General features: G+C 47.0%; 2 pseudogenes, besides 2 other annotated features; both read left to right on the top strand.

The window, feature by feature from the left end:
- On the top strand, positions 58-1,096 carry RPSAP17 (ribosomal protein SA pseudogene 17; annotated as a pseudogene).
- Positions 1,004-1,370, top strand: MRPS33P1 (mitochondrial ribosomal protein S33 pseudogene 1; annotated as a pseudogene).
- Positions 1,502-1,702: a silencer, noted in NCBI's record as "peak418 fragment used in MPRA reporter construct". NCBI's record gives its function as "represses an SCP1 promoter by STARR-seq MPRAs in K562 erythroleukemia cells {active_cell/tissue: K562}" and the evidence as "EXISTENCE:reporter gene assay evidence [ECO:0000049][PMID:32103011]".
- Positions 16,962-17,162: a silencer, noted in NCBI's record as "peak417 fragment used in MPRA reporter construct". NCBI's record gives its function as "represses an SCP1 promoter by STARR-seq MPRAs in K562 erythroleukemia cells {active_cell/tissue: K562}" and the evidence as "EXISTENCE:reporter gene assay evidence [ECO:0000049][PMID:32103011]".

Here is a 26,943-nt window from a genome sequence, read left to right as displayed (position 1 = left end):
ATTTGGTGAAGTTGCCTGGCCTGCTGATTCCTAGTCTATGAAAGTGGTGAAACTGCTTTTTCTGCGCGGCCTACAGAGGGGTCCATACCGTGTTGTTCTGGATTCCCGTTGTAACTTAAAGGGAAATTTTCACAATGTCCAGAGCCCTTGATGTCCTGCAAATGAAGGAGGAGGATGTCCTTAAGTTCCTTGCAGCAGGAACCCACTTAGGTGGCACTAATCTTGACTTCCAGATGGAACAGTACATCTATAAAAGGAAAAGTGATGGCATCTACATCATAAATCTGAAGAGGACCTGGGAGAAGCTTCTGCTGGCAGCTCGTGCCATTGTTGCCATTGAAAACCCTGCTGATGTCAGTGTTATATCCTCCAGGAATACTGGCCAGAGGGCCATGCTGAAGTTTGCTGCTGCCACTGGAGCCACTCCAATTGCTGGCCACTTCACTCCTGGAACCTTCACTAACCGGATCCAGGCAGCCTTCCGGGAGCCACAGCTTCCTGTGGTTACTGACCCCAGGGCTGACCACCAGCCTCTCACGGAGGTATCTTATGTTAACTTACCTACCATTGCGCTGTGTAACACAGATTCTCCTCTGCGCTATGTGGACATTGCCATCCCATGCAACAATAAGGGAGCTCACTCAGTGGGTTGGATGTGGTGGATGCTGGCTCAGGAAGTTCTGCGCATGCGTGGCACCATTTCCCGTGAACACCCATGGGAGGTCATGCCTGATCTCTGCTTCTACAGAGATCCTGAAGAGATTGAAAAAGAAGAGCAGGCTGCTGCTGAAGAGGCAGTGACCAAGGAGGAATTTCAGGGTGAATGGACTGCTCCAGCTCCTGAGTTCACTGCTACTCAGCCTGAGGTTGCAGACTGGTCTGAAGGTCTGCAGGTGCCCTCTGTGTCTATTCAGTAGTTCCCTACTGAAGACTGGAGCGCTCAGCCTGCCACGGAAGACTGGTCTGCAGCTCCCACTGCTCAGGCCACTGAATGGGTAGGAGCAACCACTGAATGGTCTTAAGCTGTTCTTGCATGGGCTCTTAAGCAACATGGAAAAATGGTTGATGGAAAATAAATAAACATCAGTTTCTAAAAAAAAAAAAGAAAAAAAGAAAGTGGTGAAACTGTTTAGTGAACAGCCTTTGGCCAAGAAGAAGACTTATGACTGGTATCCAGATTACAATACTTATTTTGTACTCATGGGGACATTCTTATGCCTTGGCCTCTACAGAGATGAGCATCAAGATTTTAAGGATGAGCCAGGCACGGTGGCTCATGCCTGTAATCCTAGCACTTTTGAAGGCCGAGGTGGGTGGATCACCTGAAGTCAGGAGTTCAAGACCAGCCTGGCCAACATGGTGAATCCCCGTCTCTACTCAAAATATAAAAATTAGCCGGGCGTGGTGGCAGGAATCTGTAATCCCAGCTACTTGGGAGTCTAAGGCAGGAGAATTGCTTGAACCCGGGAGGCGGAGGTGGCAGTGAGTCAAGATAGCGCCACAGCACTCCAGCCTGGGTGATAAGAGCAAAACTCCGTCTCAAAAAAAAAAGAAAGAGAGAGAGACCAATCTGGCCAACAAAAAGACCACATCTCTCAAAAAAAAAAAAAAAATTAAGGATAAACAAATGTGTTTAACACTTTTCCTGTCTGCCCCAGGAATATTTGCCAGCAGTGCTTGTGGTTGCAGTGTTTACCTCGAGATAACTTTGCCAGGAGATATCTCGTTTTTATTATTATTTCACATCGCTCTAGTATATCACATCTTTGGAAACAAAAGGCATCATTCTATTCATAGCATTCTGTTTCTAGTAGTGGTATTTCCATTTACAAAATATAGTAATTCTCGATCACTGAAAATGTCAAATGCTAGAAAATGTAGCATTCCTACACGTGATGTTAACATCATTCTGGAACAGTTGCTGGCTGAAGATTCATTTGATGAATCGGATTTTTCCTAAATAGATGATTCTGATGATTCAGGCAATTCTGATGTTAGCTCTGTTCAGAAATAACTCCAAGAACAGTTTCGATATTTTATTTTCATATTGAAAATCAGACAGATTTGCTTCAGCCTCAAAGAGCCTGTTTATGTAAAATTAAATGAGTGCTGGCAGTGAACTGCACTTTTTTTTTAAATGGGAAATTAAAGAAGCTCTGTGTAACTTGATTGCCTCTGTAAAGAAAAAAGAAAATAAATAAATAAAAGAAGCTCCATGGAAGGGGGAAACCAAGTAAAGGAAAAGAGAAAAGAGCAGTGGGCTGGGCGTGGTGGCTCACACCTGTAATCCCAGCACTTTGGGAGGCCGAGGCAGGCGAATCTCGAGGTCAGGAGATCGAGACCATCCTGGCTAAGACGGTGAAACCCCGTCTCTACTAAAAATAAAAAAAAAATTAGCCGGGCATGGTGGCGGGCACCTGTAGTCCCAGCTACTCAGGAGGCTGAGGCAGGAGAATGGCGTGAACCCAGGAGGCGGAGCTTGCAGTGAGCCGAGATTGCGCCACTGCACTCCAGCCTGGGCGACAGAGCTAGACTCCCTCTCAAAAAAAATAAAATAAAATAAAGAGCAGCAAAAACGAAATAGTGTCGGCCCATCAAGAGGGAAAATTTCCTCCTCAGTGACAGAAAAAAGTGTATTTATTAGCCAGGCGTAGTGGCTCATGCCTGTAATCCCAGCACTTTGGGAGGCCGAGGCAGACGGATCACCTGAGATCAGGAGTTTGAAACCAGCTTGGCCAACATGGTGAAAACCCTGTCTCTACTAAAAATACAAAAATTAGCCAGGCATGGTGGCACACTCCTATAATTCCAATTACTCGTGAGCCTGAGGCACAAGAATTACTTGAACCCAGGAGACAAGTTGCAGTGAGCTGAGATGGCACCATTGCACTCCAGCCTGGGGGACACAGTGAGACTCTGTCTCAAAAAAAAATAATAATCACAATCATAAAATAAAAAAGGAAGTGTATTTATTGTCTGTCCAGATACTGGAGGAATGTAATATTCCTAAATGAAGGTTATTTAGGGAACACCGTGTTGAAGTCTAATCCAGTTAAATTGTAGCTGGTTTCTTGACCACATTCTAACCATGCAAAATTATTTTGCTTTGGCTTTCTAATCCGAGGTTTACCTAATTTTCTAATGAAATGAGTACACTAAAAAAAAAAAAAAAAAGAAATATAGGCCGGGCACGGTGGCTCACGCCTGTAATCCCAGCACTTTGGGAGGCCGAGGCAGGCGGATCACGAGGTCAGAAGATCGAGACCATCCTGGCTAACACAGTGAAACCCTGTCTCTACTAAAAATACAAAAAATTAGCCAGGCGTGCTGGCACTTGCCTGTAGTCCCAGCTACTCAGGAGGCTAGGGAAGCAGAATGGCTTGAACCCGGGAGGGGGAGATTGCAGTGAGCCAAGATCACGCCACTGAACTCCAGCCTGGGTGACAGAGCGAGACTCCATCTCAAATAAATAAATAAATATAATGAATTTTTATTCACTCTTGTATCCATAATCTTACAAATGCATTTATTAATGTTAATAGTTTATCTATAGACTCTGTAGTTTTGTTTTGTTTTGTTTTTGAGATGGAGTCTTGCTCTGTTGCCCAGGCTGGAGGGCAGTGGAGCAATCTTGGCTCACTGCAAACTCCATCTCCAGGGTTCAAGCCATTCTCCTGCCCCAGCCTTTCAAGTAGCTGGAATTACAGGTGCCCACCACCACAACCAGCTAATTTTTGTATTTTTAGTAGAGACGGGGTTTCACCATGCTGGCCAGGCTGGTCTCGAACTCCTGCCCTCAAGTGATCCACCCCCACTTGGCCTCCCAAAGTGCTGGGATTACAGGCATGAGCCACAGCACCAGGTGGGAGCTTTTTTTTTTTTTTTTAAAGGTGGCATAGCATTTTATGAAACACTTTTCCTGTATCTATTGAGACAGTGAGAGAGCCATGTGTTTTTCTCATTTATTCTGTTATCATGATGAATCATCAATGTCAGAATCAAAACTCATAATTTTTTTTTTTTTTCTGAGATGGAGTCTTGCTCTGTCACCCAGAGCTGGAGTGCAATGGCACAATCTTGGCTCACTGCAACCTCCACCTCCTCGGTTCAAGCAATTCTCCTGCCTCAACCTCCCAAGTAGCTGGGATTACAGGCACTCACCACCACACCTGGCTAATTTTTGTATTTTTAGTAGAGACGGGGTTTCACCATGTTGGCCAGGCTGCTCTCGATTGAACTCCTGACCTCGTGATCCACCCGCCTTGGCCTCCCAAAGTACTGGGATTACAGCTGTGAGCCACCATACCCAGCCAAAAATCATAAATTTTTAACTCTTACACAAATCTTGCTTTCCTAGAATAAATTCAAGTTTATTGTAATGAGTAAGCTCTTTATATGCAGTTGGAATCTAATATTATTAGAATTAGATTAATATTATAATATAGTATATGGTTAGAATCTAATGTGTAGTTACTACTACTTTGTTCAGAATTTTTATATTTATGTTCATAAGAGAGATTAGCCTGTAATTCTTTTCTGTTGCTGTTATGAAGGTTCTGCTGATCTCCCAAAATGAATTGGAAGAATTTGAGTAAGATTAATGTGACTCCTTTCTTAGATGTTTGGAGATTCTCTGGTGAAGTCATTAGTGCTTGGAGTTTTCTTTACTGAAAGGTTTTAAATTTTAGATCCAATTTCTTTAACAGATATAGGACTCTTCAGATTCGTATGTTCTACTTCTTTTTTGCGGGGCTGGGGATGGAGTTTCGCTCTTGTCACCCAGGCTGGAGTGTAGTGGTGCGATCTCGGCTCACTGCAACCTCTCTCCCTTCTGGGTTCAAGTGATTCTCCTGCATCAGCCTCCCGAGTAGCTGGGATTACAGGCAACTGCCACTAACCCCGGCTAATTTTTGTATTTTTAGTAGAGATGGGTTTCACTTTGTTGGCCTGGCTGGTCTCAAACTCCTGACCTCAGATGATCCACCCACCTCAGCCTCCCACAGTGCTGGGATTACAGGCATGAGCCACCGCACCCAGCCCATATTTCCTACTTCTTGTTTCCGGTGGTGGTGGTGGTGGTGGTGGTTGAGACAGAGTCTCACTCTGTCCCCCAAGCTGGAGTGCAGTGGCACAATCATAGCTCACTATAGCCTTGAACTCCTGGGCTCAAGTAGTTAGGACTATAGGTACATATCACCACACTGGCCTAATTTTTTTGTTGCTTTTATAGATGAGGGTCTTGCTATGTTGCCCAGGCTGGTCTCAATCTCCTGTCCTGAAATGATCCTCCTGCCTCAACCCCGAAAAGTGTTAGATTAGAGGTATGAGCCACCATGCCCAGCCCCTTTTCATTCCTGATATTGGCACTTTGTGCCTTTGAAAAATGTTTATGAGGCCGGGCGTGGTGGCTCATTCCTGTAATCCCAGCACTTTGGGAGGCTGAGGCAAGCGGATCACAAGGTCAGGAGATCGAGACCATCCTGGCTAACACGGTGAAACCCCATCTCTACTAAAAATACAAAAAAATTAGCCAGGCGTGCTGGCGGGCGCCTGTAGTCCCAGCTGCTGGGGAGGCAGGAGAATGGCGTGAACCCGGGAGGTGGAGCTTGCAGTGAGCCGATATCGCGCCACTGCACTCCAGCCTGAGCTACAGAGTGAGATTCCGTCTCAAAAAATATATATATATTTATGGCTGGGCGCAGTGGCTCACACCTGTAATCCCAGCACTTTGGGAGGCCAAGGTGGGCGGACCACGAGGTCAGGAGATCGAGACCTTCCTGGCTAATACGGTAAAACCCCGTCTCTACTAAAAATACAAAAAATTAGCCGGGCGTGGTGGCGGGCGCCTGTAGTCCCAGCTACTTGGGAGGCTGAGGCACGAGAATGGCTTGAACCCGAGAGGCGGAGCTTGCAGTGAGCTGAGATTGTACCACTGCACTCCAGCCTGGGCGACAGAGTGAGACTCCGTCTCAAAAAAAAAAAAAGTTTATTAATCTTAGTTCTTTCAAACAAACCAACTTTTTGCTTTGTTAATTTATACTGGGCTATGTTTGGTTTTTGTTTCACTAGTTTCTGTTCTTAGATTTATTATTTCCTTCTTCCTTTTTTTTTTTTTTTAAACAGAGTCTCTATCTCCCAGGCTAGAGTGCAGTGGCAGCATCTCGGCTCACTGAAACCTCTGCCTCCCGGGTTCAAGTGATTCTCCGGCCTCAGCCTCCTGGGTAGCTGGGACTACAGGCATGCACCACCACCCCCGGCTAATTTTTGTTTTTGTATTTTTAGTAGAGACGGGGTTTTGCCGTGTTAGCCAGGCATGGTTTTAACATATTTTGCCATGTTAGCCAGGCTGGTCTCGAACTTCTGACCTCAGGGGATCCATCTCCCAAAGTGCTGGGATTACAGGAGTGAGCCACCGCACCCGGGCCTATGTGTTTTTTATTTTATTTTATTTATTTATTTAGTTTTTGAGACAGGGTCTCGCTCTGTGGCCCAGGCTGGAGTGCAGTGCCATGATCTTAGCTCACTGCAACCTCCACCTCTCAGGTTCAAGCCATTCTCCTGCCTCAGCCTCCCTAGTAGCTTGGATTTCAGGCATGTGCCACCAAGCCTGGCTAATTTTTATATTTTTAGTAGAGACGGGATTTTGCTATGTTGGCCAGGCTGGTCTTGAACTCCTGGCCTCAAGTAATCCACCCACTGCCTCAGCCTCCCAAAGTGCTGGGAATACAAGAGTGAAACTCCGTCTCAAACAGAACAAAACAAAAATAATAATTAAGGCTGGCCAGGCATGGTGGCTCATGCCTGTATCCCAGCATGCTGGGAGACTGAGGTGGCGTGAGCCACCACACCTGCCCCGTATGTGTTATTTTATTTTATGTATTTTTTTTTTTTTTTTTGAGATGGAGTCTCGCACTGTCACCAGGCTGGAGTGCAGTGGAGAGATCTTGGTTCGCTGCAACCTCCGCCTCCCAGGTTCAAGCGATTCTCCTGCCTCAGCCTCCCAAGTAGCTGGATTTACAGGCACCCGCCACCATGCCTGGCTAATTTTTTTTTTGTATTTTTAGTAGAGACAAGATTTCACTATGTTGGCCAAGCTGGTCTTGAACTCCTGACCTTGTGATCAGCCCACTAAAGACTAAAGCTCAGGGCCAACCAGGCCCAAAATGAAGCAGTTGAGGAGAAGACCAAGGTCATAAGAGAATATCAAGGTCACAAGGTCACAAGAGAGTATTAAGGTCACAAGAGAGTATTAAGACAAGCAGTATTAATAGAAATGTACCAGGATGAGCCACAGACAAGAACCCCTCAGAGACCGAGTTGTAGAAGGAAAGGGCTTTATTCAGCTGGGAGCATCGACGGACTCACGTCTCCAAAAACCGAGCTCCCCAAGTGAGCAATTCCTGTCCCTTTTAAGGGATTACAGCTCTAAGGGGGTCCACGTGAGAGGGTCGTGATTTATTGAGCAAGCAGTGGGTACATGACTGGGGGCTTCATGCACCAGTAAGCAGAACTGAACGAACAGGACAGGGATTTTCACGATGCTTTTCCATACAATGTCTGAACTCTATAGATAACACAAGCAGTTAGGTCAGGGGTTGATTTTTAACTACCAGGCCCAGGGCGCGGTGCTTGGCTATCTGCCTGTGGATTCCATTTCTGCCTTTTAGTTTTCACTTTTTCTTTCTGTGGAGGCAGAAATTGGGCATAAGACAATATAAGGGGTGGTCTCCTCCCTTAGAAATAAAGGAGAAAAATGTCCTTGCCCCCCAGTAAAATCTACAGGTAGAAATTCAGGGTCTCTCTGTTCTCTTCAAATATCTGCTTCTTCTTTCCTGGGCCCACTTTGCCTTTGGGTACCATGGTGTAATGCAAACACCCAGCTAGGAAAATAAGAGAGAGCTACGGAAACTACAGTCAGTAGGTACCATGCTGGCAACGCATTCACTTCCCATGCAAACTAAAGTCTTTTTTTTTTTTTTTTTTGAGACAGAGTCTCGCTCTGTCACCAGGCTGGAGTGCAGTGGCGCGATCTTGGCTCTCTACAACCTCCACCTCCCAGGTTCAATCGATTCTCCTGCCTCAGCCTCCCAAGTAACTGGGATTACAGGCGCGTGCCAACATGCCTGACTAATTTTTTGTTTTTGTTTTTGTTTTTGTTTTTGTTTTTTAATTAGAGATGGGGTTTCACCATATTGTCCAGGCTGGTCTCGAGCTCCTCCTCGTGATCTGCCCACCTTGACCTCCCAAAGTGCTGGGATTACAGGCATGAGCCACTGCACCCAGCCCAATTATACGTTCTTTTACTATTTTTATTGATTATCCTAGAGCAGCAATTTTATTATTATTATTATTACTATTTTTTGAGACAAGGTCTTGCTCTGTCACCCAGGCTGCAGTGCGGTGGTGCAATCTTGGCTCACCACAGCCTCAACCTCCCCGGTTCAAGCGATCCTCCCACCCTAGCCTCCCAAGTAGCTGGGACTACAGGTGCATGCCACTACACCCAACTAATTTTTGTATTTTTTTGTAGAGATGCAGTTTTCCCATGATACCCAGACTGGTCTTAAACTCCTGACCTCAGGTGATCCGTCTGCCTCAGCCTCCCAACATGCTGGGGTACAGGCATGAGCCACTACGCCAGCCAGGCTTAATTATTATTTTTGTTTTGTTTTGTTTGAGACGTAGTTTCACTCTTTTCTCCCAGGCTGGAGTACAATGGTGCTATCTCAGCTCACTGCAACCTCCACCTCCTGGGTTCAAGCCATTCTCTTGACTCAGCTTCCCAAGTAGCTGGGATTACAGGCATGCGCCACCACACCCAGCTAATTTTTGTATTTTTAGTAGAGATGGGGTTTTGCCATGTTGGTCAGGCTGGTCTCAAACTCCTGACCTCAGGTGATCCACCCGCCTCGGCCTCCCAAAGTGCTGAGATTACAGGCGTGAGCCACTGCTCCCTGTGCCTTAATTATTTTTTAAATTGACAAATAAAAATTATATATATTTAGGGTGTAGGCTGAGAATGAAATAATTAAAAACTTTTCTGGCCGGGCGCGGTGGCTCATGCCTATAATCCCAGCACTTTGGGAGGCCGAGGCAGGAAGATCACGAGGTCAGGGGATCGAGACCATCCTGGCTAACACGATGAAACCTCGTCTCTACTAAAAATACAAAAAATTAACCGGGCGTGTTGGCGGGCACCTGTAGTCCCAGCTACTCAGGAGGCTGAGGCAGGAGAATGGCGTGAATCCGGGAGGCGGAGCTTGCAATGAACCGAGATCACACCACTGTGCTCCAGCCTGGGCGACAGAGTGAGACTCCGTCTCAAAAAAAAAAAAAAATTAAAAAGACAACATAATTATACTAAAAACAAAGATTGTTGAGAACACAATTGGATATCTACATGTAAAAGAATGAAGTTGGGGCTGGGCACGGTGGCTCACGCCTGTAATCCCAGCACTTTGGGAGGCCAAGGCAGGCGATCACTTGAGGTCAGGAGTTCAAGACCAGCCTGTCCAAAACAGTGAATTTTTATATTTCTACAAAAAATACAAAAATTAGCAGGGCGTGGAGTAATCCACGCCTGTAATCCCAGCTACTCGGGAGGCTGAGGCAGGATGATTACTTGAGCCTAGGAGTTTGAGACCATAGTGAGCTAAAATTAAAAAATATATATATATATTTTTTGAGACAGTATCTTTCTGTCACTCAAGCTGGAGTTCAGGGGCAAAGTCATAGTTCACTGTAATCTTGACCTCCCAGGTTCAAGCGATCCTCCCACCTCAGCCTTCTGAGTAACTGGGACCACAAGCAGGCACCACAACGCCTGGCTAATTATTTATTTATTTATTTATTTATTTAGAGACAGAATCTCACTGTGTTGCCCAGATCTCCGCTCACTGCAACTTCTACCTCCTGCGTTCAAATGATTCTCCTGCTTCAACCTCTCAAGTAGCTGGGACTACAGGCGTTTGCCACCACGCCCGGCTAATTTTTGTATTTTTAGTAGAGACAGGATTTCACCATGTTAGCCAGGCTGGTCTCAAACCCTGACTTCAAGTGATCCACCAGCCTTGGCCTCCCAAAGTGCTGGGATTACAAGTGTGAGCTACCATACCCAGCCCATAATAATTATATTATTTTATTTATTTTGAGACGGAGTCTCGCTCTATTGCCCAGGCTGGAGTGCAGTGGCATGATCTCAGCTCACTGCAACCTCTGTCTCCCGAGTTCAAGTGATTCTCATTCCTCAGCCTCCCTATTAGCTGGGATTATAGGCACCCGCCATCATGCCCGGCTAATTTTTGTTTTTGTTTTTGTTTTGAGACGGAGTTTCACTCTTGTTGCCCAAGCTGGAGTGCAGTGGGCGATCTCGGCTCTCTGCAACCTCTGTCTCCTGGGTTCAAGTGATTCTCCTGCCTCAGCCTCCCGAGTAGCCTGGATTACATACATGCACCACCACAGCTGACTTATTTTTTTGTATTTTTTAGTAGAGATGGGGTTTCTCCATGTTGGTCAGACTGGTCCCAAACTCCCGACCTCAGGTGATCCGCCCGCCTCAGTCTCCCAAAGTGTTGGGATTACAGGTGTGAGCCACCGCGCCTGGCCCAATTTTTGTATTTTTAATAGAGATGTGATTTCGCCACATTGGTCAGGCTGGTCTCTAATTCCTGGCCTCAGGTGATCCACCCACCTCGGCCTCCAAAAGTGCTAGGATTATGGGTGTGAACCACCACGCCCGGCAATAATTATTTTAAAAAGGAAAGTAAGCCGGGGAATGGAAAATGAATATGAAATGGTACAGCTGCTGTGGAAAACAATTTGGCAGTTTCTCAATAAGTTAAACATAGGATTGCCATATGACCAGCAATTTTACTCCTAGTATATAACCAAAATAATTGATAACAGGTGTTCAAGTCAAAACTTGCACACAAAAAAAATTTTTTTTTTGAGACAGAATTTTGCACTTGTTGCCCAGGCTAGAGTACAATGGCGTGATCTCAGCTCGCTGCAATCTCCGCCCCCTGGGTTCAAGAGATTCTCCTGCCTCAGCCTCCCAAGTAGCTGGGATTACAGGCACCCACCACCACGCCCAGCTAAGTTTTGTACTTTTAGTAGAAATGGGGTTTCACCATGTTGGCCAGGCTGGTCTCGAACTCCAGACCTCAGGTGATCCACCTGCCTTGGCCTCCCAAAGTGCTGGGATTATAGGCGTGAGCCACCGCACCCGGCCACACAAAAATGTTTATAGCAGCCCTATTCACACTAGCCAAAGGTGGAAACAAAACCAAGAGCAGTGGTGCGCCTGTAGTCCCAGCTACTCAGGAGTTTGAGGAGGGAGGATCGCTTGAGCCCAGTAGTTTCAGGCTGTGTGGTATGGTATGATCATGCCTGTGAATAGCCACTGCACTCAGCCTGGGCAACATAGCAAGACTCTGTCTCTAAACAAAATGGTTTTTTGGCCAGGCACGGTGGCTTACACCTGTAATCCCAGCAGGCCTTTGGGAGGCCAAGGTGGGCGGATCACGAGGTCAGGAGTTTGAGACCAGCCTGGCCAGCATGGTGAAACCCCGTATTTACTAAAATTACAAAAAATTAGCAGGGCATGGTGGTACGCGCCTGTAATCCCAGCTATTCGAGAGGCTGAGTCAGGAGAATCACTTGAACCCAGGAAGCGGAGGTTGCAGTGAGCTGAGATTGAGCCACTGTATCCCAGCCTGGGCAATAGAGCGATACTTTGTCTCAAAAAAAAAAAAAGAAAAGAAAAGAAAGAAAAAAGGGGTTTTTTTGGCATAGGATCTGTCTGTCGCCCAGGCTGGAGTGCAGTGGTGTGAACACACAGCAGCCTGGAACTCCTGGGTTCAAGTGATCCTCTTGCTTAATAGCGTCCTGAGTAGCTGGGACTACAAGCATGCATCACCATGCACAGCTAATTTTTCAATTTCTTTCTGTTTTTTTTTTTTGAGATGGAGTTTTACGGTTGTTTCCCAGGCTGGAGTGCAATGGCGCAATCTCGGCTCACTGCAACCCTGCCTCCGCCTACTCAGGAGTCTGAGGCAGGAGAATTGTATTTTTGGTAGAGACGGAGACAGGGTTTCACCATATTGGCCAGGCTGGTCTCGAACTCCTGACCTCACGATTCGCCCGCCTCAGCCTCCCAAAGTGCTGGGATTACAGGCATGAGCCACCGCGCCTGGCCTCAACCATTACCATTATCTAAGTCCCAGGGCTCTTTCATTACCCCAAGTAGAAACTTCATACCTACTAAGTAGCCATTCCCATGTCCCTCTCCCACCCCAGATCTGGGCAACCGCTAATCTGCTTTCTGTTTCTCTGGGTTATGCCTGTTATGGAAATTTCATACAAATGGAAATATAATTCTCCTGCCTCAGCCTGCTGAGTAGCTGGGATTACAGGTGCCCGCCACCACACCCAGCTAATTTTTGTATTTTTAGTAGAGACAGGGTTTCGCCATGTTGGCTAGGCTGGTCTCCCGACCTCAGGTGATCCACCTGCCTCGGCCTCCCAAATTGCTGGGATTAGAGGCATGAGCCACCATGCCCTGTCTTTTAAAAATTTTTGTGGAGACAAGGTGTTGCCATGTTGTCCAGGGTGGTCTCAAACTCTGGGGCTCAAGAGATCCTCCTGTCTTAGTCTCCCAAATTCCAGGAATACAAACTTGAGGCACCATCCTCAGCCTAAAAAAAATTTTTTTTAAGGTAGAAACAACGTAAGATGTCCATCAGAGGAATGGATAATCAAAATGGGGCATATTCATACAATGGAATATTATTTGGCCATAGAAAGGATTAAGTAATAGTACATGGATGAACTTTGAAAACATTATGCTAAGTGAAAGAAGCCAGAGACACAAAAGGTCACATATTATATTTCCATTTGTATGAAATTTCCATAATAGAAATAACCCATAGAAACAGAAAGCAGATGAGTGGTTGCCGAGATCTGGGGCGGCAGAGGGACGTGGGAGTGGCTATTTTCTAGGTATGAAGTTCCTACTTGGGGTAATGAGAGACCTGGGACTTAGATAATGGTAACGGTTGAGGCCAGATGCAGTGGCTCACGCCTGTAATCCCAGCACTTTGGGAGGCTGGAGCGGGTGAATCACAAGTTCAGGAGTTTGAGACCAGCCTGGCCAACATGGTGAAACCCAGTATCTACTCAAAATACAAAAATTAGCCGGGCATGGTGGTGGGCGCCTGTAGTACCAGCTACTTGGGAGATTGAGGCAGAGTAATTGCTTGAACCCAGGAGGCGGAGGTTGCAGTGAGCCGAGATCACACCATGGCACTCCAGCCTGGGTGACAGAGCAAGACTTCATATCAAAAAAAAAAAAAAAAAAAAAAAAAAAAGGTAACGGTTGAACAAAGCCACTGGGTTGTACACTTTGAAATGGTTACAATGGTAAATTTTATGTTCTCTATTTTACCACAATTTTAAAAATATTGAGGACTCCAACGAGCCTTTGTTTATGTGAGTTATGTCTAAGAATATTTACCATATTAGAAATTAAAAGTGTCCAGGCACAGGCCAGGACTGGTGGCTCACATCTGTAATCCCAGCACTTTGGGAGGTCAAGGTGATCAGGAGTTCGAGACCAGCCTGGCCAACATGGTGAAACCTTGTCTCTACGAGAAATGCAAAAATTAGCCCGATGTGGTAACGTGCGCCTGTAGAACCAGCTACTCAGGAGGCTAAAGTGGGAGAATCACTTGAGCCTGGGAAGTGGAGGTTGCAGTGAGCCAAGATCTCACCACTGCACTCCAGCCTGGGTGACAGAGACTCTGTCTCAAAAAAAAAAAAAAAAATTGTGTGGGCACAGTGGCACACGCCTATAATCCCAGCACTTTGGATGGCCGAGGAGGGCAGATCACTTGAGGCCGGGGGTTCAAGACTAGCCTGGCCAACATGGTGAAACCCTATCTCCACTAAAAGTACAAAAATTGGCTGGGTGTGGTGGTACACACCTGTAGTCACAACTACTTGGGGGGCTGAGTCAAGAGAATCACTTGAATCTGGGAAACGGAGGTTGCAATGAGCTGAGATTGCACCACTGCACTCCAACCTGGGCGACAGAGTGAGATTCTGTCTCAAAAATCAAAACAAAACAAAAAGATATTAAAATTGAGAATTTAAAATATTAATTCATTAATATTTTTATGAAATCTGAAATAATAACAATTAAACCACTACAAATGTATATTTTTAAATTTTGTCGTTTTTGGTGTTTTTTTCTTTTTTTGAGACAGAGTCTCACTCTGTCACCCAGGCTGGAGTGCCGTGGTGTGATCTCGGCTCACTGCAACCTCTGACTCCTGGGTTCAAACAATTCTCCTGCCTCAGCTGCCTCAGCCTCCCGAGTAGCTGGAATTACAGGTGCATGCCACCATGCCTGGCTAGTTTTTTAGTAGAGACAGGGTTTTGCCATGTTGGCCAGGCTGCTCTTGAACTCCCAGCCTCAGATGATCTGCCTCCCTCGGCCTCTCAAAATGCTGGGATTACAGGCATGAGCCACTGTGCCCCGCCAAATTTTTGTTTAAAATAAAGAGAAATAAGAGAGACATTGTTTTACAGTTTTTGCTTTTACTTTAATGTCTGACTTATAAAAGACAATATGAATCTAATTTTGGCTTCTATATTCAATCTGTTCCTATATGATGTTTTAGTTGAATTATACGAAGAAAGTTTGGCCCTACATAGATATGTAGTTGGAAAATGGAGAATTTTAATAGCCTTTTCAGATAATTGTGGATTTTTTTTTATGTAAAACTCAACAAGTGGTAGTTTATTTCATTTTATTTATTTTTAACAAAGGTCTCACTCTATCTTCCAGGCTGGAGTGCAGTTGTATGATCATGGTTCGCTGTAGCCTCCATCTCCTGGACTCACGTGTTCTGCCTGCCTTAGCCTCCAAGTAGCAAAGACTCCAGGTATACACCACCACACCCAACTAATTTTTTTTTTTTCGAGACAGGGTCTCTTTTGCCCAGGCTGAAGTGCAATGGCTGATCTTGGCTCACTGCAAACTCTGCCTCCTAGGCTCAAGCAATCCTCCTGCCTCAGCACCCCCCAAGTATTAATAACTGGGAATACTGGTGTGCACCACTACACCCAGCTAATTTTTGTATGAGACCGGCTTTTGTCGTGTTGCCCAGGCTGGCCTCAAACTCCTAGGCTCAAGAGATCTGCCTGCCTTGGCCTTTCATAGTACTAGGATTACAGGCATAAGCCACCTCCCCTGGCCTAATTGTTTTATTTTTTTTAGCAACAGTGCTCTCACTTTGTTGCCCACTCTGGTCTCGAACTCTTGGCCTCAAGCAATCCACCCACCTCGGACTCCCAAAGTGCTAGGATTACAGGCATGAGCTCCTGCACCTGGCCAACAAGTGGTATTTCCTTAAGGACTAGTTGCAATATGGAATCTGAAACCAAATTTCGAATTCATAAAGTTTTCTTTTTTTTTTTTTTTTTTTGAGACGGAGTCTCCTCTGTCACCCAGGCTGGAGTCCAGTGGCGTGATCTTGGCTCACTGCAACCTCCGCCTCCTGGGTTCAAGTGATTCTCCTGCTTCAGCCTCCTGAGTAGCTGGGATTACAGGTGCACGTCACCACACCCAGCTAATCTTTAAATTTTTCTTAGTAGAGACGGTTTCACCATATTGGCCAGGCTGGTCTCAAACTCCTGACCTCATGATCCACCCACCTTGGCCTCCCAAACTGCTGGGATTACAGGTGTGAGCCACCACACCCAGCTAAGTTTTCATATTTTTTTGTTCATTAAAATCCATTGTTCTATCTTGCACGTTGTTTTTTTTTTTTTTACTATACAAAATTTTGTAACATCATGCATTGGTTATTTGGAAAATACTGGGTCACTAAGTTATAAAGATTATTGAGATAATTCATCATACAATGTCAAAAAAATCACATTTGTTAATACCACCATTCTCATCAAAAGTCTTTTACATACTGGTAGCCAAGTAATAATGGTGAATACAGTTCAAGTAAATGTGCTCAACAGTCTGAGTCTCGTGGAATTAATTTTCATTCTAGTGGTTTTGCGTCAGTAGCCTGACGTCATGAGGTCACCTACTGCGGAACTGAAATGATCCTAGGAATTCTGAGTCTCCGGTCCTTTGTTTCATTCTTTCCTCTACGTTCCTAAGGTTATCTTTCTAGGATGTTTCTTCCAGAAGACCCTAATGGGGTCTGTAGCATACAGCAAGGGCCCTGAGGCTTGTGTGAGAGGACAGTGAAAACTATCAGTTGATGACATGCAGAATGATTTAGATTTGTAAACCCAAAGTATCTGAGACAGGCCTCAACCAATTTAGGACGTTTATTTTGCTGGCCGGGTGCGGTGGCTCACGCCTGTAATCCCAGCACTTTGGGAGGCCAAGGCGGGTGGATCATGAGGTCAGGAGATCGAGACCACCTTGGCTAACATGGTGAAACCCCGTCTCTACTAAAAATACAAAAGATAAGCTGGGTGTGGTGGTGGGCGCCTGTAGTCCCAGCTACTTGGGAGGCTGAGGCAGGAGAATGGCGTGAACCCAGGAGGTGGAGGTTGCAGTGAGCTGAGATTGCGCCACTGCACTCCAGCCTGGGCGACAGAGCAAGACTCTGTCTCAAAAAAAAAAAAAAAAAAAAGAAAGTTTATTTTGCCAAGGTTAAGGACACACCCATGACACAGCCTCCAGAGGTCCTGAGGACAAGGTGGTCCCAAGGTGGTCGGGGTATAGCCTTTTACACATTTTAGGGAGCCACGAGACATCAATCAATATGTGCAAGATGTACATTGGTTCTGTCTGGTGAAGAGGGACAAATCGAAGTGGGGGAGCGCTTCCAGGTCATAGGTAGATAAGACAAAAAAGGTTGTATTCTTTTCAGTCCTTGATCAGCCTTTCACTGAATACACAATTTATTCTGGCTTAGTGAATCTGCATTTTTACATTAACAATAGGGCAGAGGAAGCAATAAGATAAGCATTTGTCTCAAGTCAGCAGAGGGATGACTTTCTGTCCTGTACCTGTGAAAATAAGCTAACGGTTTACATTGCCAGGGTGAAATTCAACAGAACTATTTTAGGATAAAGATTTTGAGGCCCGCAAGGAATTTCCTTGTGGACAAATTGTGAGGGAGGTATGTAGCTCTTTTATCTTTGTAGCTATCTCATTTAGCAATAAAATGGGAGGCAGTTCTGCCTGATGCAATTCCCAGCTTGACTTTTCCCTTGGCTTAGTGATTTTGGGGTCCTGAGATTTATCTTCCTTTCACAGATTGATGGGTCACAGTGTCTGAAAACATCAGAAGGTCTTTTTATTTTTCATTTTTTGAGACAGGGTCTTGCTCTGTCACCAGGCTGAAGTGCAGCGGCGCAATCACTGCAACCTTGACCTCCTGGGTTCAAGCGATCCTCCCAACTCAGCCCCCACCCCCGGCCCTGCACCCTCCAGTAGCTGGGACTGGAGGCTAATCTTTGTATTTTTTCCAGAGACGGGGTCTCACCACGTTGTCCAGGCTGGTCTTGAACTCCTGGGTTCAAGTGATCCTCCCGCCTCAGGCTCCCAAAATGCTGGGATTACAGGGATGAGCCACCATGACTGGCCAGAATGTCTTTTTATAAAAACATTTATTAGTAGTTATCATTCCATTTAGGTGAGTACAGTTGTTTATACTCTCCTTCTGAAATATTTAGTGGAAGTAAAGTAGCTTATCTGACCAGTAAAGCCAGCAAAGGAAATTTAGAAAGCTCAGATTAATTAAACTTTGCAAAAATAAAGTCTTGGATAAACTAATATTATGCAAACAATACTTTCCACATGGTAATAAAATTAGAAGAAGGTAAAAAGCAAAGCTGTCTTTTTTCTTCTTCTTCTTCTCTTTTTTTTCTTTTTTTCTGTCTTTTTTTGAGATGGAGTTGTTTTGCTCATGTCGCCCAGGCTGGAGTGCAGTGGCGCGACCTCAGCTCACTGCAACCTCTGCCTCCCAGGTTCAAGCAATTCTCCTGCCTCAACCTCTCAAGTAGCTGGGACCACAGATGCGCACCACCATGCCCAGCTCAAGACCTGTCCTCTAGGATGAACTAAAGCTATCCAATCAGTCTGTATTAGTCAACTCCAGCTGCTGTAACAAAATACTGGCCAGGCACAGTGGCTCATACCTGTAATCCCAACACTTTGGGAGGCCAAAGCAGGCAGATCACTTGAGTTCAGGAATTTGAGACAAGACTGGACAACATGGCAAGACCCTGTCTCTACAAAAATTATCTAGGCATGGTGGTGCATGCCTGTAGTTCCAGCTACTCAGGAGGCGGATGCAGGAGGATGGTTTGAGCCCCAGAAGCAGAGATTGCAGTCAGCTGAGACTATGCCACTATACTCCAGCCTGGGTGATAGAGTGATACTGTCTCAAAATCAAAACAAAATAAACAAACAAAAACAAATACAGTCACATAGGGGTTATGATTTCAACATATGAATTGGGGGGGATACAATTTATTTCATAGCACAGCCTTATTTATCTAAAGATTTATTTTGACACACCTAGCTTACTTGAACTTTGATGCTTGTAGCATTCTTCTGTACCTATACATCAAATATTAAAAACCAAATCAAAATTTTGGTATCAAAAAGTTTTCAGCCCAGCATGTAGTACAAACCTGTAATCCCACCTACTTAGGAGGATGAGGTGGGAGGATTGCTTGAGGCCAGGAGTTGGAGAACAGACTGGGCAACATAGCAAGACCCCATCCTGAAAAAAAAACAACTTTTTAAATTAGAAGAATAAGAATTAAGCTCTTCTGTCATATAATAGGTTTCCTCATTTATGAATACATACCCTGCCTTTGATTCCCTTGCCTGTCATTGGCCACTGGCCCAGTGGAGACTTAGCACCATGATATGAGATGATACTTCAGACTTCTTGATAAATCATGCTAGAATTCCACGCAGTTCAAGGGTCTACATCCCACTACATCCCTCCCTTATGCTATTACCAGAAAGGGGTCCCAATCCGGACCCCAGCAGAGGGTTCTTAGATCTCGAGAAAGAAAGATTTTGAGGCAAATCAATAGAGTAAAGTGAAAGCAAGTTTATTAAGAAAGTAAAGGAATAGGCCAGGCACCATGGCTCATGCCTGTTATCCCAGCACTTTGGGAGGCTGAGGCAGGCTGATCATTCGAGCTCAGGAGCTTGAGACCAGCCTGGGCAACATGGCGAAACCCTGACTCTAGTAAAAATACAAAAATTACCCAGGTATAATGGTTCATTCCTGTAATCCCATTTACTTGGGAGGCTGACGCACGAGAATCGCTTGAACCCAGAGGTTGCAGTAAAGGGTTGCAGTGAGATGACACCACTGCACTCCAGCCTGGGTGACAGAGTGAGACTCTGTTTCAAAAAAAAAAAAAGAAAGTAAAAGAATAAAAGAATGGCTATTCCATAGGTAGAGCAGTGGCATGGGCTGCTCAACTGATAATATGGTTTGGCTGTGTCCCCACCCAAATCTCATCTTGTAGTTCCCATAATCTCCACTTGTTATGGGAGGGACCTGGTGGGAGGTAATTGATCATGGAGGCCGTTTCCCCTATTCTATTCTCATGATAGTAAGTACTCACAAGATCTGATGGTTTTATAAGGGGCTTCCCCCTTCACTGGGCTCTCATTCTTGCCCTGGCTGCCACCATGTGAAGAAGGACATGTTTGCTTTCCCATCTGCAATGATTGCAAGTTTCCTGAGGCCTCCCCAGCCATGCTGAACTGTGGGTCAATTAAACCTCTTTCCTTTATAAATTACCCAGTCCTGGGTATGTCTTTATTAGCAACATGAGAACAGACTAATCAAGTAACAATTGATTATACTTATAGTTACTTCTTGGTTATGTGCTAAACAGGGGGTGGATTATTCATGAGTTTTCCAGGAAAGGGTGGGCAATTCCTGGAACTGAGGGGAGTGTTCCTCCCCTTTTTTTACCATATAGGGTAACTTCCAGACACTGCCATGGCATTTGTAAACTGTCATGGCGCAGGTGGGAATGTCTTTTAGCATGCTAATAATTAGCACATAATGAGCAGTGAGGACAACCGGAGATCACTTGTGTCACCATCTTGGTTTTGGTGGCTTTTGGCTGGCTTCTTTACTGCATCCTATTTTATCAGCAAGGTCTTTGTGACCTGTATCTTGTGCTGACCTCCTAGCTCATCCTATAACTAAGAATGTCTGATCTCCTGGAAATGCAGCCCAGTAGGTCTCAGCCTTATGTTACCCAGACCCTATTCAAGATGGAGTTGCTCTGGTTCAAATGCCTCTGACAATACCACCCAAACTCAGACAAGAAAGGCTACTGATGCAGGCTGATCTAGGGAGCTCCCCTCACCACCACCACCATGAGCCCTCTTCTGGCCATACCCCTCCCATAAAATGATGAGTCAAAGGGGCCGACTGGACTTGCCCAGCTGGAGCCCACACTGCCTCCTTCTAGACCAGCACACTCAAATTGTGGCCCTTGAACTGCTGCCATTCAACAGATGGCTTGTTACTGGACCACAATGAGCCAAGTATAGAAATGAAAAGCAGCAGAGGCGAGGCGCTGTGGCTTACGCCTGTAATCCCAGCACTTTGGGAGGCCGAGGCTGGCGGATCGCCTGAGGTCGGGAGTTTGAGACCAGACTGACCAGTAGAAACCCTGTCTCTATTAAAAATGCAAAATTAGCCAGGCATGGTGGCACATGCCTGTAATCGCAGCTACTCGGGAGGCTGAGGCTGGAGAATTTCTTGAACCCGGGAGGCGGAGGTTGCGGTGAGCTGAGATAATGCCATTGCACTCCAGCCTGGGCAACAAGAGCAAAACTCCATCTCAAAAAAAAAAAAAAGAAAGAAAGAAATGAAAAGCAGCAGGGCACCGGGCGCAGTGGCTCACTCCTGTAATGCCAGAACTTTGGGAGGCTGAGGCATGCAGATCACCTGAGGTTGGGAGTTCAAGACCAGCCTGACCAACATGGAGAAATCTCGTCTCTACTAAAAATACAAAAAACTTAGCCGGCCACGGTGGCCCATGCTTGTAATCCCAGCTATTCAGGAGGCTGAGGCAGGAGAATCATTTGAACCCGGGAGGCAGAGGTTGCAGTGAGCAGAGATCGCACCATTGCTCTCCAGCCTGGGTAACAAGAGTGAAACTCCATCTCAAAAAAAAAGAAAGAAAAGAAAAGCAGCAGGGTGCAGTGGCTCACACCTGTAATCCCAGCACTCTGGGAGGCTGAGGCAGGTGGATCACATGAGATCAGGAGTTCGAGACCAGCCTGGCCAACATGGCAAAACCCCGTCTCTATTAAAAATACAAAAATTAGGCCAGGTGCAGTGGCTCACACCTGTAATCACAGCACTTTGGGAGGCCGAGGCGGGCGGATCACAAAATCAGGAGATCGAGACCATCCTGACTAACACAGTGAAACCCCATCTCTACTAAAAATACAAAAAATTACCCGGGTGTGGTGGTGGGCACCTGTAGTCCCAGCTACTCGGGAGGCTGAGGTAGGAGAATCACTTGAACCCAGGAGGTGGAGGTTGCAGTGAGCCGAGATCGTGCCACTGCACTCCAGCCTGGGTGCAAGAGGGAGACTCCGTCTCAAAAAAAAAAAAAAAAAAGAAAAGAAAAAAAGAAATGAAATGAAATGAAACACCAAGCATTTAGAAACTTTTATCACAATTTTACTTTGCTGCAACATCCAAGCTCCTGATCATTTTCCATTTTCCAGGAATTTGTTTTCATTGTATTTTATAAAAGTATCAGCCAGCCTATCACAGATTGGAAATTTTATTTATTTATTTACTTTTCAAGAAGGGAAAGAAAGGCTGGGCACGGTGGCTCACACCTGTAATCCCAGCACTTTGGGAGGCTGAGGTGGGCAGCTCACTTGAGGTCAGGAGTTCGAAACCAGCCTGGCAAACATGGCAAAAACCCATCTCTACTAAAAATACAAAAATTAGCCTGGTGTAGTGGCACACATCTGTAATCCCAGCTACCTAGGAGGCTAAGGCAGGAGAATTGCTTGAATCCAGGAGGCAGAGGTTGCAGTGAGCCAAGATAGTGCCACTACACTCCAGCCTGGGTGACAGAGACTCCAACTCAAAAAAAAAAAGGAAAGAAATTTAACAGATTGGAAACTTTAAAAGCTGGTTATTCACCTGAAGCACTATTCTAGACTCTGGCATTTTTCTATCCAAATGGTGTTGAGTTCATTTCCAAGGACTCTGCAGCCTTCTGCTTCAGGTATTCTCTGGCAAACAGACCCATCTGCCAGTGTGCACACCTGGCTCCAGTAAGTGGCCAGGAACAGCTGTTTGCAGGGGTGCAGGTGGAACTTGGACTTGTGTGCTGGGGTGTGCTGCAGAAGCAAGGACCCTCACAGTGTAGAATGGGACAGGGAGGGAAGTGGGAAGAGGAGGGGCAGGCTGGGGGCTGGGAGGCCAAAGGGGCAGGTTCTAAATTTAAACTGACATTCCAAGTTGTTAGGAAGATATATCTGTCAAGGTAGGAAGACACAGCCTACTTTGATCTCATAACTCCTCTGTACTCAGACACGTGGTACGTGGGCCTCCATTTGCTACTTGCCCTGAGTCCCATGAACATTCAGGGCAGGGCTGCCTGAAGCATCCCTAGGTGAACAGCTGAGGAGCCTATTAAACTGCATGCACTTTGTAAAAGCACATAAGCATTTCATCACATGGCTTCACTGGATTTTCAGAGGTGAACCTGAGCCAAAAGTATGAAGAACCGCAGTCCCAGACATTGCAGAAAACATGACAGGGCAAGCTGGCCGGTTCTACTATGCTGGATCCAAAGCCGGGGTCCAAGGTTGTCTCACCCACTTCTTTGTGTGAGGGTAGACCTAGAGAACAGCCAGCATCTGGGGGTACTAAGGATGTCTCCTATAGTCTTCTGGTATCCTTTGTACCTCCACAGAATAGACTTTCTGCGTTTCTAGAAATCTTCCCTTCCCCTGCAGAGGAGAATCAACCCCCAGGCCCAAACTGCTGCATGTTTGCTTCTAGCCCCAGCGGTTCTCCAGGTGTTGTAGAAGCAGCCACTCAGCTATGCAGCTGCCTGCCTTCCGCCCCAGGGGTGTCCCTCCCTGCGTGGGGAGCCCAGGCACAGCAGCAGGCGCCCAGAAGGTTCTGGCAGAAGAGCTGCACCCAAGGTAGTAGGGGACCAGGAAGAGATGAACCCCCAGCTTGTAGCTGTGCACTGCGGGGCTGCGAGTGAAATGAAGAGTGGCCCATGAGGAAGGAGTGGAGAGTGGGACATGGTCCTTTCCTTCCACCTGTCACCCCCTCCTCACCTCCTGCCTGCCCTTGAGTAAACCTGGGCATCCTCTCCTCCTTGCCCCAGTCCTGGAACCCACACATGTCCCTGCTGGGCCCCGGGGGGCCGAAAACACGGCTTAGGCCTCCCTGTCCTATTCCCAGTGGCAGGATGGAAGATTTCTGCAGAATTTCCAGCCCAGGCCAAACTCAGGCTGTGCTAGGCTGGAGGAACTCCCTCTTTCTGTGTCCAAAAACACTCCTTTCTTAAGAGGAGACACTCCATCACGTTTTGGAGAGAGAGAGAGAGGGAAAGTGTGTGTGTGTTTTGTTTTGTTATTTTATTTTTTTAGAAGGAGACTTACTCTGTCGCCCAGGCTGGAGTATAGTGGCGCGATCTCTGCTCACTGCAACCTCTGCCTCCTGGGTTCAAGCCATTCTCCTGCCTCAGCCTCCTGAGTAGCCGAGATTACAGGGGCACGCCAGGACACCCAGCTAATTTTTGTATTTTTAGTAGAGACAGGGTTTCACCATGTTGGCCAGACTGGTCTCGAACTCCTGGCCTCAGGCGATCTGCCCACCTTGACCTCCCAAAGTGCTGGGGTTACAGGCATGAGCCACCATGCCGGGCCACTGTGTGTGTGTGTGTGTGTGTGTGTGTGTGTGTGTGTGTGTGTGTGTGTGTGTTTTGGTTTTTTTAGATGGAGTTTCGCTCTTGTTGCCCAGGCTAGAGTGCAACGGCCTGATCTTAGCTCAATGCAACCTCCGCCTCCCAGGTTCAAGTAATTCTCCTGCCTCAGCCTCCTGAGTAGCTGGGATTACAGGCGTCTGCCCCCATGCCCAGCTAATTTGTTGTATTTTTCGTATAGACAGGGTGAAGCCATTTTAGTCAGGCTGGTCTCGAACTCCTGACCTCAGATGATCCACCCGCCTTGGCCTCCCAAAGTGCTGGGATTACAGGCGTGAGCCACTGCGCCCAGCCCAGTGTGTGTTTTAATAGACTAGTATTGGGAAAGACTTCCCTCTCTCAGCCCGGCAAGATAAGTCTACACCCTCCCCAGGCGGGTGTCCAGCAGGGCAGCTCCCAGCAACTCACTGAGAACTGGAAAGTTTCCAGGAAGGGTTGGGAGGGTCAGACAGGTCATGTTTCTCACTGGGGTCAGGACACAGTCCTTCAAGATAGGACACTGGAGCAGAGATAAGCAGGAGAACTCAGCTCCTTCCTTCAGCCGCAGAGCCCAGTGTTTAGTACATCTCCATCAATGGCTTGCTTCCTCTGAAGTAGAGACTGCAGTGGGTAGTCCTGGTGCTTTATCAGTGAGTCCCTCCCTCATGCTCTGCAGGGTGGCTACAGTGGGAGGCTGCAGCTGCCTACCTAATCTGAGCACTCTGGTCTCTCCAGTTTCTCTTTTGGGGCCAAGGAAAGTGACATTGAACCTTTGTGGCAGAATTTCTTTGTGTTTTGAGTCCCAACCTAGATGGCCCCGCTTTGGGGACAGAAATATGGCTGTCGTGACCCTGCCTGGGTCACAATCACTGGGAAACAGTGGCTCAGGACATTGCAGCTTAATCATTTCATGCTCCACATCAAAGAAGATGAAATATATGATTTACAGTGTGGTGGCCCCAGAGCAGAGGTTGTAGGGTTTTCTCCAGGACATGTGTGTCTGGCTTTGGTGACTGGTGAGATCGCGTGCTGCTCACTGAAATAGAGGATGCGGGAGGAGCAACAGGTGTTGGGAAAAACAATGTTCAGTGTGGGGTATGTTGAATAACAGGTGGTGGTGGGTCGTCCTAGTGGAGAGGTCCAATGGATAATTGAATACAAGGGTCTGGAGCGTGGAGTGGAAGGAAGAAGTCCAATCTAGAGGTGAACAATGGTGACTCTCCATTTAATTGTTAAATCTTACTTGTTTAAACAAATCTTATTTAAACCATGGGTTTGCATGGGGACCTTCAAGGACCCTGCACAGAAGAGAAAAGCTTAGAGCCAAGTATGGAGTCCTGGGGCATGGTGGGAAGAAGAACAGAGGAAGGAGCTCCAAGGAAGGAGACAGAAGGATCAACCAGAGAGGCAGCAGTTAAACCAAGAGAAAGTGGAACAAAGTCAGCAGAGGGCAGAGTTTCAAGGAGAAGGCAGCCAACACAGTCAAATGACTAAGAGATTGCAAGTCAGATCAGACCTGGAAATGCCTTCTGGACTTGGCCAACATGAAGGTCAAAGGTGATTTTAGTGAAAGCATTTCAGGGACTGGTGAAGGAGATGCCAGATTACAGGCAGTGGAAGAGATAACAGAGAGGCTAATGGGAGGGACACAGACCACAACAGAGTTGATAGGGGTTAGGGGTCAGGTGAGGGGGAAGAAAACTGAGCAGGCTAATTTGGGGAAGGAAAGAATCAACGGAGAGGGAAATGAAGGCAGGGTCAAGAGAAGGTCCTGGTGAAGGACAATGGAAGGTGCAGTGGTGGGAGGAGGGGAGGGGCGGGGCCACAGGGAGCGGGACAGGAGAGTCCAGCCTCCCCAGGCAGGGGAAAGGAAAGGGGAAGGCCGGCGTGCCTGTGCGCAGTGAGATTTGTAGTTGAGAGGAAAGCCGCAGAAGTTATTTGCTCCGTGAAGTAGGAGGCAGCACCATCTGCTGAGGGCAGGGTGGGAGGCGGTGGCAGGAGTTGAGGGAGGGGCAGGAGAATGAGGTTCCCAGCGTCTCCTCGCCGTGCAGAGGCGCCTGCGGAGGGAGCCCGGGCAGCTGCCGCTCCTCTTGCTCCGTGGTTGTGTGCTGCCCTTCAGCATTCCACAGCTCACCCTGGGAGACGCTGGGCTGACCCAAGGCTGGAATGTTCCGGGGCAAAGCGACGAGTACCAGACCACGGGCTCCGGGCTGGATTGGGAAGCAAGTAAGGGTTCACATATGGAAGCAAGCGACCAGGAGGAAAGGGAGGGGCCGTAGTTTTCGCTGGGAGCACAGATGGAAGCGGGAAGAACTGAAGAATATGGATGGCCAAATGCTGAATGAATTGTGAGAGTTCAGAGGTGGAGCTCCTCCCGACGGCAGTGGGCGCCCATGGGTGTGTGCTGCTTTAGTGGAGTGGAGAGGAACGCCCTTGGAGATAAGCAGGCTCAGTGGAACAAAGCTGCGGTATCGGACAGACTTCACCTCCACGCACTCAGAAAAGGCACTAGGACGATGGGGACCTAGGGGCTGGAAGCCACTCCCACAGGAGCCCAGGTGCTCAGTCAGCGCAGGGAAGGAAGACCAGGGATGCCTGCGGCAGAGGGGAGAAAACGGGGAGCCCGAGTGCCCGGAGCCTCCGTGGAGGCGTGTGTCTATATCGCGACGGAGAAAACGCGTCCCCAAGAGGCAATGAAAGTTAAAATGACATTGGCCCTGCCCCTCAGACACACATAATAGGATCCTGGGTGCAGGAGAGCCAGGGTCAGCGAGAGGAGCCAAGGAAGACATTCCCAGTGGCTGAACAGACCCCCAACGGGAGGCCAGCGCAGTGCTGAAGACCTGTCTTGTGGGAGGGGTGGACTTGGGGCCTCACCAGCCTCAAGGGATTAAGGCTTCTTTCTGTGTTTCGGGGGTGGGGGCACTGAAGCCAGATGCCACTTGCTGCCCAAAGCTCAGG

The sequence above is a fragment of the Homo sapiens genome, chromosome 1 (assembly GCF_000001405.40).
Source record: "Homo sapiens chromosome 1, GRCh38.p14 Primary Assembly".
Taxonomy (NCBI): Eukaryota; Metazoa; Chordata; class Mammalia; order Primates; family Hominidae; genus Homo; species Homo sapiens.
The sequence above is the reverse complement of the archived record's forward strand: the minus strand, read 5'-3'. Positions and strand labels throughout refer to the sequence as shown.